Source organism: Homo sapiens, chromosome 10 (genome assembly GCF_000001405.40).
Source record: "Homo sapiens chromosome 10, GRCh38.p14 Primary Assembly".
NCBI classification, from domain to species: Eukaryota; Metazoa; Chordata; class Mammalia; order Primates; family Hominidae; genus Homo; species Homo sapiens.
In genome coordinates this window covers 112,518,690-112,534,748 of record NC_000010.11, presented here as the reverse complement: position 1 = coordinate 112,534,748, position 16,059 = coordinate 112,518,690, and the positions used below count along the sequence as shown (strand labels likewise).

The window sequence follows — 16,059 nt, the reverse complement described above, 5'->3', positions numbered from 1 at the left end:
TGCAACTGATTATATTCATTTAGTGTATATATACAACTGCTCCCCTGTAGGGAAGATAAAAAACACAAAAAGGTTGGAGGGCGAGGGTTTTTGTATATTTTTCCCCTTCATTTTATATATCATTATTACTTTTTCTGAGGGAGGACATCAGTAATGCATCTTAAATTCAAAGAGTTGTTGAAAAACACTATCTAGAAGCTTCTAAATTAACATCTGTATCACCTAGAGAATGATGACATACCAATAAAAAAAATTCTAGAGAATTCTCAATCAATGCAGTCAAATTAAACTCAAAAGTAATTCATACTACTCTATACTATAAGCAATTAGACAATTTTTAAATTGCAATATAGGCCATTATGTCTTAATAGAAAAATAAAACCCAATCTTACTAAATAAAAAATATGACTATCTCTAAAAAAGAGTACCAAAGCATGTTTGATATGTTTGACTTAATTTTTTAAAAATAGAATTATTCAGCATCCCTCATTAATACAAGGATACAATTATAAACATTGCAGTAAATATTTGCTGAGCCACACACAAAAAAATCTGGAGTTGCATTATGAAACAGTCCAGCAAACTCAGAAAAATGAGAACTCACTTGGGTGCTGCATGCTACAAAAAGCAAAGTGTTTAACAATGACGAAAGCTTTGGCTATTCTTAGGTATCTATGTACACAGAGTAGCAGGGCATTTATAACATATGTGTGTTTCCCCAAAAGGATAATACATCCATGGTGTCTTATGTTAAACCCAATAATTTTGGGTGGGGGAAAGGAGTTTATTTAAGAACAGTTTACAGTAAAGTAAATCAGAATGTTAGAAAAAAAAAATCATACTAGCTTCTTTGAGAAACTACATAAATAAACTTGAAGTTACAGCCTACAATAAAACTACACTCAGGTAGAGTTTTAAGATATTCCTTTATTATTCCTCCTTTTTTTTGGCCTTTAAAGTATTAACTTTGTCCCAGTTCCAACAAAGAACAATGATCCCTGAGATAAGCATGATTAGGATATAGTTGTGTTTTAAAAGATGGTGAGCAGAAAAGATTTCTGAACAATATAAATGATACTTTTTGCTATGTATAGATTTACCTGGAAAAACAAATCCAAAGATCCACTTCAGATTTAAAAACTCAATTTTATAGGGAAAAGCAGAATTAAAAAAAAAAAAGAAGCTAGGAAGTACTCACCTCTTCACGTAATTTTATCAACTGCAACATGAATGCACAAAAAAAAGATAAAAAGGAAAGAAATGGCAGGAAAGAAAGATCAGTTGTCTGACAGGATACAGAATTAACATTGACAATTTATCTGTTTACATGTTTAGCATTTAAAAATCACAGACAAACACATTAAAAGAACCTAAACATAGACTACATGCAGAGTTTTTTGAACGAATAAAGATCACTTTCTCACACTGTCACATTAAACAAAGAGAATAGTGTGAAATTCTCTTTTAAAGTACATCTAAGACACCATCATGAAATAAAGGGGAACGACTTCATAGAAGTCTATATTATAAAGAAAGAAAACAAGTTTACTGTTCCTCTCTTCTAAGAATGTACCATTGAAGAGGTTTTGTATATACAAGTTTTCAGGATGTTTCCCTATTTGGAATCTTGACAACTGATTTCAGATTTTACCTACAAATGAAAATGATTAATAGCTCATGCTTTGGTTCCAGTAAGTATTTAAAACAACAAACTATTATGTTAGTTAATGTTATACTTGTACCCACTCTAGTAATAAGACTGCATTTGGAAGTAATGTTATTTTAATAGAAAATAAAGTATGCCAGGAGAGATAATACTTATTTAGATCATAGTATCAAAAATTCACGATCATATGAACTTCTGTGTATGTAAGAGTCAATTTCTACATTTTTATTTTGCTTAAGAGGCTACCACAATCATGTGGCATGTTTTCATTTTAATTTTTGAATGATTTCTTCAGTTTTCAATTTTCTTCATATTGTAAACTGGCAATGAGCTCTTACTTCATTTATATTGCAGTTTTGTTTTCACTAAAGTCAAATAAAAAATCACTCCTTACTTCTTAGTAAATTATCCTATGATAACATTTTAATTCTCTTATTTAGAACATTTTTCTATTTACCTTAAATATAACAGATAAAACAAGCTGTTTAACTCTTTAGGAACTAAAATATATAACCATATATCTGGCTCATTGTGTGTACGTGTGGGTGTGTGTGTGTTTGACATTATTCTAAACTACAAATATCACTGTATAAGTGAGATGACGACCACAGTTTCTGCAATGACTAGAAACTGAAACCTATGTTGTAACAGACTAAACCACATTCTAGGTCTGAAATTTGCATCCTCAGCAATTCAGGTCTACGACTGATAATTTTTAAACATCCAAATATCTGTAACATCTGTTATAACACTTGACATATGCAGGTCAATAAATTAAACTATTGCTTTGGGAGAAATGTGCCTGAATTGTTCACTATAAGTCTCTGTAAGTATCATGTTTACTATAGCCCGGATATCTCAATGCTTAACGCTGTTTTTGTCCCGAATTCAAGGAAGGCAGTATGCATTCCAGCTTATTCTGTTATTTCATTTGTTATATGAAAAGTATTTTGAGTACCAAAGAATAAGATTTTAAAAACTGTTAAGAATCTTTATAAAAAGGGTACATAAGTTATCATGTAATGTCTCACAGTACATTCAGTGAAAATGAAACCTTTATTATCATCGTTTCAAAATAAGAAGCTTTCTTTATTTTTAATTAACACACTCAGCAACCATCCAGTTACATACAAGTAAATCATCTTTTCATTTCACATGAAAAGTTATAATTCTTCCCCAGAAGAAGCAAAATTTTAAGCTAAAATACCTGGCCTATCATATATCGGAATCTTTCTCTTTGCTATCCCAACATCATGGGAGAAAAAGGCAAACATTAATTCTCAGAAAGAGACGATCTGGGAATTGATCGGCCAGCGATCTTTTCTTTCTGGGGGCACTATTCTTTGGTTGACTATGATACTTAAAGGGCCAAAGTTTAAAACTACTCTTCAGCAATAGAGACCATTTGGGGCATGCCACCCTGCCATAATCAATGAGTGTTTAAAAATGCTACCCATTTGTTTTTTCAATAGGTTCCAAACAAAAAACGTTCTATCTTGTTTGTGCTGCATGGCTGCATTCAAGCTCTACATCGGATTTGTAGCCAAGCTAGGTAATGGGAGGGTTTTTCATCTTTATCTTTTTTCTTTTTTTTTTTTTTCTTTGCTTAGGCCGGGAGTTATTCATTCAAGTAAACAAAAGATGGCCTATTTCTGAAAATTAACAATGCGTAGACTGGACTGTAAGTCGTGATTTCGTATTTTCTCGAGTTACTAGCTCCATCATAGGCAACATGAGAGTGTGCAATGCCACCATGTTGAGTTATGATAATCAACATCTTTTCTGAAACAAAGATTTTTTTTCCCCCAATGCAGAATTTGATACAAGAGGTAATCTGTTCCTTTGTGGGCTGAAAAAATCTGGTTTACGCTGGTTTGAACCAGTGGAATCTCTTGTGGTTAAGCCTTCTGCTGTGACTAAAATCAAAACTGCACTGCAGAGCATGTGAGGGTTCATGCGCGCGCGCGCACGTGCGCACGTGTGTGTGTGTGTGTGTGTGTGTGTGTGTGTGTGTGTGTGAGGTGTGTCACGTGACCCCAGAACTACCGAATTTTTTTTAAAGCTGATAACGCGACTGCTGTCTCTGTTCGCATACAGATAACGAATAAATGCTGAACTCTATTAAACGCCCTTTACACATTATCGTGGGTCGAACACACAATTTTCTGAACTTATGATGACAGTCTATTTATTTTGCTATAAACCCTCAGCACGTAACGAACAGATTTGTGCCTGGTAATGATCTGCTCTGCCAGGGCTATATGAAATGATACCGACCTTCTTTAGATCTTGGGGAATTAAATTGACCGACTTCACCCCCTGGTCTGTAGCTGAAGTTTGACACACTTTATGCACAGCAAGCCCAAATCAGAACTTAAGAGAACCTTGTATTAAGAAATTAAGCAATCATTATCTGCTAAATATTGCTTTGCCACAAAACTTTCCCCACATTTGGAAATAGTCTACTCTTTATATTTTGAATCTTCTATTTAGGATTTATTAAAAGTCACTGATCAATATAATTCTGCATATAGAAACTGAGAGAGTATTAGGGTTCAAAATCAAAGCTTGGAACAGTTTATTTGCCCCATTATCACACTTCACTATGAAAGGCTTTATGATTTTATTCTATAAGTTGTGTTTTTCCTTTTATGAGAATGGTTCTCATGAAATGCAATCAAGTTATGAACTATTAATGTTTCCACTCTAAATACAACATCACTACATTCAAGAACTCAACTCTTTCAAAGAAATAAAATGTTGCCACATGGAATGGTAAATACGGTATTTTCAAAGAATAGAATGATAATGCTTAAGACAGTAATCCTTGGAAAGCTGATAGCCCAAAAGTACTCAAATGTACAAAGTAGGTAATTTTCTTGCCCCTTCTTTGTAAATCAGCATTAGCTATATTTGATTGAATGAAATGAATATGAATCAGAAATGAATGTATACAAAGCATTTAATTTGGAATTAAATGCAAAGGGTATTGTATGAGGGACATTAAAAATGCTTTTGAAAAATTCTTAATTTCTGAATTTTTAACATTTCTAATCATGGCAGAAATGTTTATGTACCTAAGAGTAAATTAACATACTTTATAGTTAATTGGCAGACTATAATTATATGTATTACAGTCAGGTTTCAGATGCCTAAAAAAACTGCATCATAAATTATCAGAATGAGAAATAATAGCTATTGTATTCATATTATCGAATCTTCACAAAGAAGCAACTATAAGGAGGATGTGTATGTTACATTGAAAATACCTAGCCAGTATTTTACCTATATAATCATTGCTATTAATTCCTTATTTTCCTATTTTGATCTATATTTTTAAACTGACAGGTATATCCCAATTGCAATTAAATGAATATTGCTATTTTTATCTCATTTTGTTTATCTCCAAGTTTTATCCATTTATATAGTTAGTATTCCATGGATAAGAAGTTCTGAAAATCAATTTATTAGCAAATAACTTAGAAGTAAACTTATTTGTAGGCAGAAGACCTTTTCTTATATAAATTATAAGCAGCCCTACCTAGAAAAAAACTCTTCCTAGCTACTGAGCTACAAAGATTAGTATAGAGCCAAATTAAAATATTTTCTTTCTTTACAGAAAGAGCTTCCGTTTTGACTCCATATTCTGAATGAATGCTGATGCGGAATAAAAAAGTTATTCTCAAGTGACCATACCTAGTTAAGGATGTGTTTTAGTTTGAGGGATTTTAATTCCTATATTATGACAAAGAGCCTTAAAACAAAATGCAATGACTTCATATGAAATGGAAACTTTGCTACATTTGGTAACGAAATATCCAAAACGTTCAGTGTGGTCTCTTTGAACTTTTACACCTCAATCAAATTTTAGATGGAAAACTTCACACAAGTAATAATCTAACAGTACATATTCTCATGACTATAATTTATCATACTCTATTTATTGAAGTGACAGTTCCTTACATGTAAACTTCAGGTTCTCCAAGCACTTTCAGAATTTGTAAGTTTGATTTATACAAGTCCAGGGGAAATCTCTGCATAATCACTTTAAGGTGACAGGAATATAATTTGAAAAATTCAGAAAATATGAACTCAATCTATTTTTGTGGAACAGTTTTCTTTAGGCATAAAAATCATACTTATATGTACGCAAGGCAAATGTTTTAGGCATATAAAATGTCCATTAAGAGAAGTGAACACGTTTGAAAAAAAAGGGATCCCTATCATAGAACTACAACATCCATTACGATAAAGGAGTCTGAGTTAGACAGGCACACCCCCTTCCTTTCTATTTCCTCTGCATTAGGCAGTAGTTTCAAATGAGGGAAAGATCTATAGCTGTTTAAAGAACTGACATGGGAACTACGCATTCACTTTTTTGCAAAAAAGATAGTGTTTTTTGCAGTAGATAGGAAATAAAATTATGATTCACTCATTTTCAAGAGGTATGAGCAATCTAAATCTCACTTTAAAAACAGAAGAAAATATTTTTTCTCTCATCCTCACATTATTTAATCTATTATGAGTAAAGCCCCTTTATCACATCACCCTTTTATGTTTGATGTGCTATTTTTTTTTTCCTTTAGCTATTCTCACATTTCAATCAGGGAAGCTGAAATCCCAAGTCAAATCTGAACGTGTTCACATGTCTGAACTCAAGCTGATAACATCCAAATAGTGGAGGAGGTGACATCTTTCCAAAAACAAACATAATCAGCTCAGTCATTCTTCTCTCTTTTTTGGGGGTGGGTGAGTAGAGTCCTTAATCACACAAACAACATCCCTGTTACAGATTATAGTATAATAGATAGCAAATACTATTAGCATATATGGACCTATAATATCATCTATTTGAGATGGTAAATACAATTATGCAATTTTTATAATATGTATCAATATATTAGGTTTCACTATCCTATTAAAATTTTGGTTTACTCAGTGACTGATTTATGTTCATTTTCATTTAGGCAGAGTAGAGACTTTTATACTACTTGCCAAAGTGGCATTAGTAACCATGTTCAGGTCTTGTTTCTGAAGGTCCCTATCATGTATTTTCTTTAAAAGTGTCAAAGAAAATCAGTCATTAGGGCTTTTTTGAGGCATTTTTAAAGTCATTTCTACAATGAGGTTCTTAAAACTTTTTTTAAAGTTGTATATAGTATCTACATGAATTAATGAAGTCTGTAGTATTAATTCAAAGAAAGAGGCGGGACATTAATTAGACTCATGACACTACGGTATGATCCAATGAGAACCGACAGCCAAGTTGTAAAGCTCTTTTAAGAAGAAACTGTATCTTATTTTTTGGCCTACGCAGATCTTAAACTGCAAAAAGACTTATCCTATTATTATTATTATTATTATTATTATTATTATGACTATTATTTGACAGAAGCAGTTCCTCTGTATGGGTATCCAAGTTCCACACTGGTGCTTCCAATTTGCATTTTGGTGAATGTATTTTTAAGAAGCCACACAATAGGAGATTGGGCTGCCCTGTTGAATTTTGAAAGCTTACTTTCATTTGTTTTGCTGCAAGTGTTGATTTAATTATACTGCATTATTATCAAAGCTGTATTATGTACTTTTTTATTCCTTTTACATGTGTTTGAGGTGAAGACCTTGGCTTTGTCTGCAAACGGTGTGTTTCAAGTTATTCCTTAAGTACTAAATAATAAAGAAAAGAGAAGAAAAGATTTTTTTAAAAGATAGCAGACAGTGATCACAAGGTAAAGGGTTAAATGTAAGATCTCCAAGAAACATTTTGAAGTTGATTAAGACTCCAGCTTTGCATTAAACAGTATCGCTTCCACATGAGTTGCTGCTAATACCGTTAAGGAGCAGCTTGAGAGCCCAGTGCGCCAGTGACCTCCTTCACCCTCCAGCCACCCACCGGGCCTTCCTGATTAGCATTCTACCTGGTTCTCTGAGGAATTCCCATCATCCCCCAGGAGCTCATTCCGTACTTCGTCACTGTAGGCGATCCGTGACCTTTTCTATAAAACAAAACAAAAAGGGAGAGAGTGAGAGGAACGTTAGAAAGTAAAAGCTTCCAAGCTTTATTGGTATCAAGGCTGATCTCAAACCTCGAGAGCCCCCTAATGGAAACCTATTGGCTACAATCTGCACACCAAAGTTGTGTAAAGTTCCTGAACTTCATAAGTTTCATGTAAATTAGAAGTTTATAAGATGCCAATAATGAAAGGAAACTCTGCATTGTGTATTCTATTCATAAACGCATCTGAACTTGTATATAGTTCCATACATCGCCATTCAAATAAGACCACTAAGCTGAAAGAAATACAGCTATATAACTGCATGTCTGTAAAACTCACTAGATTGTACTTAAGACAGGAGTATATGTTTTTTTTTTTCAATATTGTGGCAGGAAATGGACATTACAAAGCTTTCAATTTAGCACTTTAAAAGTCTCTAATACTAGGATAATAATTATATCTCCAACTATACTCTGCAATGCCTAGAATAGCACGTCTATATTTCTTTCATTATTGTGATGCTACTAACCAGAAAGAGAGAGAATTTAAAGCCCCTCCCCTGTACAAACAATAATTTAAATGTCTCCCAGCTCTCTATAAATAATGGCCTAAGGAAAAGTAATGAAAGTGTGTGTGTGCATGTGTGCATGCATGCGTACATGTGTGTGTCTGGTAAAAGAAACTAAATTTCTCAGTCACAGTAAATAAAGGCAAGTAGGCTATGAGTCAACTTTTCACAGTCCCAGTAAATAAAGACAAGTGGGCTATGAGTCAATGTTTCACACCCTGAAAATGTGTTTTACAAGAAATATACCCCTCTCTATAAAGTCAGAGGGACATGTCTGCAAGCAATTCATGAATTATCTAAATGTATACACATTTGGAAAAGCCAAAAGACTGAAAATTCGTTGGGAAGCTAAAGTGTGGGCCTCAGATCCCACTTCAGCGTCACTATTTCAGACCTAAATTCAGATTTGCAAGTTACTTTGTTGTCTTTCCTGCTTCAGAATTCACTAAGAAAACTACTCCATTAAAAAATGGCAGCTGGAAAACAGTAATCTCTTCCTCACTTGGGGGTCTAGAGTTTGGGACTTAAAATTTCTTACTTGTTCAACTGTGATCTGAAAAAGTATTGTAGTTTAAAAGGACTATCAATAATTCCAGAGCAGATGTCAACAATATGATTTTTAAATTAGATTTTAAACTAGTGAATAAGCGACACTGCTTGACCACATAGAGATCATAATACCTTAAACATCAAACGTATTACATTTGAATGGAAAAGAACCTTAGACAAGAACAACCAATAGACTTTAAATCATTCTGAAGTTACAACTTTTCCCAATTATCTTAACCACAAAACACAGAAAATTATTTCAGTAACTATGTTTATCAATTCTCCCAAGGATGGTACATAAGAAAAAAATTTAGTTCATTACATATATTTGAAGACAAGTCTTAAGTCTCTGGCAGAACCCAGTTGAAAAGGCTGAATAGAAATAAAAATAAATAAACCTAGACATTCCTTTGCTTTTTAGGGAAAAAAGTAAGTTTCATGGAATTCTAAAGGTAGCTCTGGTTAAACTGACACTGGAACACTGGGGTCCTGACTCACAGCTCAGTGCTCATTCTACCACACAAAAGTTCCTCTTCATTCTATTACCTTTAGAGTGACTCAGGAAAAAGGCACAAGAATTGCAAAATGTTTTGATATTAAGGAGACAGTGGCATCCACTCCCCGCCCTGAGTCTCCACCCTAAACCCCATTTCGCTGCACAAATGCATATCTTATACCTTGACTTCTGCAGTAAGTCTCTAAGTAGATAAATAAAATCAACAACGTTGCAGAGAGGAGGACAGAGTAAAGAAGTCAAGTCCTCAGCATGAAGTCAGTAAAGATATCTACATCAGATCGCTCGACAATTCAGTAGTGACCCAACTCAGTCATTTGTGAACATGCCAGACTTTTGACCATCGCACACAGCATATATTAAGCCTGGTTCTCTTATTGTATTTACTGAAGCCATTATTAATTAGCTATTTCTATTGACTTCATACAGAATTGCACTTAAAAATGCTAAATTATCAGGGCAGTCCACTTCATGGCCTTAATACAATATTTAGATCAAGCCAAAGCTTGCCTTTGCTCATTTGGAGTTCCTACTACAGTAGTTTCAAACTAGCTAAGCAAAAGTATTTTACTGCATTAAAGGAAATGAGAACCTTTAAACAGGCTGTGGTATCAGAGCTGCCTTTTTAATTATTCATCTCATCACTATGGGGGACTAAAACATTCCACAGTATGCAAGAGGATCATATGGAGATTGCTTTTGTTTTTCCCTTTTTTCACCAAAATACCAACAAATTGGCATAGATTGTTCAATTACATTATACTCTTATTTTGATTTACTATACTTCAAAAGGAGAAAATTATAAATGTGTATCCCTAAATATCGAATCTTGTTTTGGTTAGAATCCACCGCTTTTAAAAACCAGCAATTAAGAGTGTACATGCTCAGCAACAGAGGAGAACTAAGGCTTTATCCACAGTTGAAGGGTGGTCCCTATAAATGTCATTCTTCACCATTGGGATGGTAAAAACTGGTTGTTTGGATGGCTTTCTGGATATAATTAAGTAAATGATATGCTGAGTGTAACCAAGTGTTCTCTGACAGGACTGACTTTTCCTAAAGAATGAAAAGACGACTCATTTCAAATATCAGAAACAGTTCCTCATGAGCACGACACAACAATGCTGAAAACTGAACTCTTTATATGTGAGTTTCATTTTCCAAACAAAACAAATCAAGACTATTAAAAAAAACTAATTATATTTAGATGCCCAACATTGGTATTTTCTCATAATTTTTCACGACTTAAAATTTTCAGTAAGCTGATTGTACCCAACCATAACTTAGCCTGCAAGATCATCATTAAACTAACTGAATACCAAAAAAGGGGGAAAATCCTTTGAATGACAAACTGCTTATTTTATGGATAATTTTCCTCTAAAACATCAATAAGTTATGTTACCTTTTATGGAATTAAAAAAAAACCCATGCTACATTAATAAGTACCTACACAATAATTTAATTTGGAAGATTCAAAGTTAATAAAACTGAAGCATTTACTGTATCTTGATAAACTTCACTAAAATATTTTTTCTTTATTATCAACGGTATAAAATTCGTACTTTAGCCAAATGCAAACATGAGAATTTGAGCTGGAAATGTCACACATTCAGCTACAGTTTGAAGGAACCCAATTCATAATGCATTTTATAAATAGTTAATGACTTCTATACATAAGCTAACCAGGCAAATCAAGAAATTGTCAACATTTTTAGTCTTAGTTGTCAGTTACCACTGTCTACTGGTGCTTTATATGTGGCTTCTGGAGAAGACAGAAGCTCTATGCAGTTTGTAATCTACTGCAATTTCTGGTCTGTACCATAAGAGTAGAAAAGCTTCAGCTGACAATACTTGCCTCCCCCCGCCACCCACACACACACAACATACACAGAGTTAAATACAAGAGTACTCCTCACTTTTAATTGTGTGTTTGTGTAAAGTTTACTTCTTCTAACTTACATACTTTGGTAGACTACATGGTTAGAAAGAAAATCTACAGATCGTATATGAACTATAGAAAAAAATATGACAAATAAACAACTGATTGTTACCTCTAAGAAGTTAGATGCACAAGTTTCAATGGCTATTTTAAACTGATGACACAAGTGAGTTATGAATGCGAGAATTTCGGATTCAAGGCGATTTTCGATTTTTACTTGGTATATGAACAGGTCCTTTGCATACTGATTGGCTGATTTTCTTAAAGCCAAGTTCAAACAGATACACTTGCTTAGTTCTGTCTGGAAATTTGGCTTGAAACAATCTTTCTACTTGACCCAAGCCTTGACATTTCCCAACTGAACTGAATGTGTTCCTGGACAGGCACTGCTAAATTAGAAACAAAACGAATTAACTTAGCTTAAACTAATTAAAAACTGTGATCTGTGGTACCGCCTCCTGTATGATTCTACATGTGAAATAGAGTATACGTAACCAGAATGAGGATTCTACAGCCCAGAACTAGCAAAAGCATAACAATGAAGTTGGTTTATTACTAAAGCGTATATGAGAATTTAATTTCCATGGCGTGCACATGGCAAAGCAATTGCTTAAATTGCCTCACCTGGGAATTTAATACAATGTTATCATCAGACCAGCCACATTGTAAATAGATTTATAATGCTTTCCATGTGCTGTATTCTGTTGCATATGAATTAAGTAATGATCTGGTATTACAATAAAATCAGCTAGTTCCCACACCTGGCAGACAGGATATTTCACTAAATTAATACCCACACAGCTACATCACAAGGCATAGGAGAGGAAACCATCTCAAAAGGCATTCGACTTGAGTTTTACATGGGATGCAAATATTCGATGGCTACGTAGAATGTCAGTACATTGAATGGGGCTGCTGAAGACAATCTGTTTCTAACATCTGTATCACAGAATTAAGACGTTCTCATTCCCATTCGATTTTGGCCTAATTTTCTTCATTCAGCACTTTAATTACTAATCAGCAATCCGCAACATTCACAAACACTAAGCAAGCCCTTTATTCTAATCTATGTGCTGCAGACAGCCAAATAATTGATACAGAGTGCAGTATGGTTTTGGTAAGTAATGAAAGAACAGCTTGTCCTACTTCCTAATCAAATGGGTCTATAGAAGAATTGGTTAATAGATTTCTCCATAGGTCTAAAACAAATTACCCAGTCTGGCCAGACTTTTCCATTGCTTCTACATGTCTTTCAGTCTCCATATATTTAATAATGCCCAAGGTTACCAGGTGATACATCTATTAAAAATTGCATGCTTTCATAGCCAAAGAATTTAACTGCTCCAAAGAATTTAACTGCTCCTGTTATAATTAACACTTTGGGATATCTACAGAAAACCATGAAATTATATTGATTAGTTAGTCATATAATTGCTGGCACTCATTTCTTAACTAATTTTATCTGGTTCTAATTAAATAATATCATACTTCTGTAATGCCCAGATGGCATTTTCTAAAATGCATCTATCTTTGGCACCAAGTGTTCCATTTTTAGCCTCACTTCTATTTCTCATGGACAATTTCAGCTTTTCAGCCACACACCACCCCTGCACCAGGACTCAAAAAGGCTCATCAATCCAGGACAGAAAGCTTACACAGTCCAGAAAAAAAATAAATGGAACTTATGAATTTTTGTTTATCACAGTGTTCTCCATGTTGTATTAATTTCTAGCAAAAAGCAATTTAAGGTTAAAACATGTATCATACTACATGGCTTAGGTAAAGGTAAAGAAAACTGTTAGATATATGTTTGATCCCTGGAACATTGTTAGGATGGATGGAAAAGCACAGGGTACTAAATGAAAAGAACAGAGAGAGCATTTCAGTATGTGATCTTGGTCAAATTAAGTTTTCTGAGCATCAGTTTCTTCATCTCTAAAATAATGGTATAGTATTTATTTCCTAGGGCTGTTGTGAAGATTTAAATGTTATAAACAAATGCAAACCTACCCTAACACCTTGTATATGATGACCTCCAGAGCATGTTCAACTAAATTGTAGTTGATAATACTGGAAAGGATGCAATAAAACTAGTAGGCATACATGGCTGAAAGTATAAATTATGCATCCTTCTTAAAAAATCATTTGCTAATACATACCAAAAATGGCTTTAAAAATCTGTATTATTTAGATCCTGTAATTCCACCATACTGTTTTGCCCAATTCCTTATTTTATGGTGGTGTAATTTTTGGATGGCTTCCAATAGTAAAAAATTTTACTGCATTTCTTTAATGCTATCAGAGAAAGTAAGTTCCAATCTGTTTCTTCTATGTAGTCATTCCTCTAAGTATGGCTTGCTCTTGCTCAAGGGACTGTTTAGAGTTAAAGGTCAAGCTCATTCGCTGGAAGGTGCACATGCCACATGTCACCAATACTGTAGCATTAATAAAGGGAAAGCACACTTTGTGTCTATCATAAACTCATGGGCAATGGACCATATGCAAGCCACCAGAGAAAAAATACTAACATACCCTGCTGCAAGGCTACCAACAGAGCTGGAAAGTAGGTTACCATGAGACTGCCAAAATAATCCATTGTTCTTTAGTATGCAACACCAGAAAAAAAATTAAAAATTAGTTTTAAAAAATTTTGTCTTTTTATTGTAATCACTCTCATTTATTATTTTTGCTTATACTTTCAAACACATTTTCCATGTTCAGAATGGATATTTATGTTTTGGCTATAAACAATAAGATAAATTATACCACATTTCCCCTAAATTACTTTTTAAAATTTAGCTATAATATCATATGTGAATATTTATATGCATATCATGAGGTTTTATATATATATATATATATATATATACACACACACACACACACACACACACATATAGAGACTAAAAAACCCATTTGCAATCCATATGGAATAATAACTATGTTTACAATGCTACAACAGACTTTTATTTATATTAGGAACTCTGCCCATATTGCTGCTGTATCATTTAATGATTTGCAAAACAGAGATCCCAGAAATTATGTAACTGCAGTTCTTCATTTCCTCTTCCAGCATTTCTAAACTTTAGCCTGTAATTTAAATTTAGCATGAATGTTTCAAAAGGCAACATAAGTTAGTATCATGGCCCCACTTGCTTGCATATGCTTGCAGTTTATGACTTTTGACACTGCTATTGAATACGGTGTGGCTGTGTCTTAAATCATGTTAGCTTGTCAATCAACAATTAAATTACTTCATTCAGAAAATCAGCTCATGATAGAATGCCCAGATGTTGTTGTCAGCATCTGGAATAGTGTAAGTATGCAGTGGAGGAAATCTCATCCTTTAAAGTCTTTTGATACGTAAAATAAAATAACTCCATAGACTCTACTTGAAATAATCAAAATATCAAAATGTTTATTATTTTCTTTGTTAATGATTTATAAATACACTATACACCCCACTGGAAAATGTTACTCTGATAAATAAATGTTTTGCAATAGATGCTTCATTTGTATTTTAAAATAAACTACTGCAACAAAGTATATAAGTGTATACAATTAATTCCTATAATGCTAGTTTCTCTATATCATCTGCCTAGCATTGGGAAGGAAAAGGGGTCATTCATTGAAAATCTGTCCATAGTCACAGTTTCAAGTGATCTAAACATCCAAGAACAAGTTATCCTGAGGATTCTCCGTAACTGACCCTAAGTTATCGCATGAGGTTTCATCTAGATCAGGCTGCAAATTTAAAAACAAGGGGTTCTAAGCCAGATGAATGATCTATCCAAGGCCACGGAGCTAGGAAAGATGAGGCAGAACAAGGACAGAACCCCATTCCTCAATGCCAGTGTTCTTTTCACTTTATTACACCGCCACAACAGGCTGGAGTCCCCCTACCTTCATTCTCCAAAGCCATGGTTGGATGAACGATTCACCTAGTTCTATCAACTTATCATCAGCTAATTAGTCTAAAGGTTTTGTTTCTGGTCACCCTTCTCTAAAAACAAACAAACAAACCTTTATTCTTTGCTATCAATAGCTAGAATATTGGACACCAATCAAGATCGAGGGTGATAAATGCTTAAGGTAAACTGTTTTATTTGATAGAATAAAGCATCTGATCTCAGAGGGTGAGTCATAACCACACCTATGGGTGTTATTTAGACAAGTTTCAAGATTAATCTTCAAAGGCTGTACCATAAAGCAACAATAGCCTACCTATGGCTCAGAGAGGAGCCGCACCAGCTATTAAGATGTGTTCAGAACTGCTTGCTTACTCAGAAAATCTGGTAACTCCTGGTTACTTCAAAATTCTAGATTGGAATCAGCCATCTCATAGGCAAACAATTTTTATAACCTATTTTCCTGGTACTTACTTTTGGACCCATGTTGCGACAGTTTCTTTATTATAGACTATGCTGTGTTATAGTGAGGTTATAGGGTTCATAATTCAGAGATATACAATGTCTTTTAATGTTTTATGGATATAGCCAATAAAACTATGATGTTTAGGCAATATAAGAAAATTAATTTAGTCCAAATTTTCTATGAAAACATTTTGACGGTTACTTCTATACTAGGGTGACCCAAAACAAAATATAATGAATATGAAACTTCATACCTCATTCATAAATAACATATTCTTCCTGAAAGATTCTCCATTTTCAGTTGAATAAAATAAAATCTTGCCTACTCAGATGTTTCGCTTCATCAATTAAATGTTTTCTTGAGTATCTTCAATGTTTCACCCTCTACTGGTTCTTTCCTTTATGGTAGGTATATCAACACTTTTAAGTGTATCCCAGCTTTACACATTTTAAA

At 33.7% G+C, this 16,059-nt stretch overlaps 1 protein-coding gene across 8 annotated transcripts in view, besides 1 other annotated feature; it reads right to left on the bottom strand.

Moving 5' to 3' along the window:
* The window catches only part of VTI1A (vesicle transport through interaction with t-SNAREs 1A), a 408,381-nt gene that overhangs the window by 320,620 nt on the left and 71,702 nt on the right, over nucleotides 1-16,059 (bottom strand). For 4 of the 8 annotated variants that reach the window (NM_001365713.1, NM_001365711.1, NM_001365712.1 and 1 more), the window contains exons 4-5: nucleotides 7,585-7,662; nucleotides 1,199-1,219 (exon numbers count right to left, since the gene is read on the bottom strand). In NM_001365713.1, coding sequence (NP_001352642.1) covers nucleotides 1,199-1,219; nucleotides 7,585-7,662 — 99 coding nt within the window. The remainder of the gene's footprint in view (nucleotides 1-1,198; nucleotides 1,220-7,584; nucleotides 7,663-16,059) is intronic. The other 4 variants (NM_001318205.2, NM_145206.4, NM_001365714.1 and 1 more) reach the window with 1 other exon arrangement.
* Nucleotides 3,444-3,493: an enhancer, noted in NCBI's record as "active region_4067". NCBI's record gives its function as "activates an Ori minimal core promoter by ATAC-STARR-seq in GM12878 lymphoblastoid cells {active_cell/tissue: GM12878}" and the evidence as "EXISTENCE:reporter gene assay evidence [ECO:0000049][PMID:35858748]".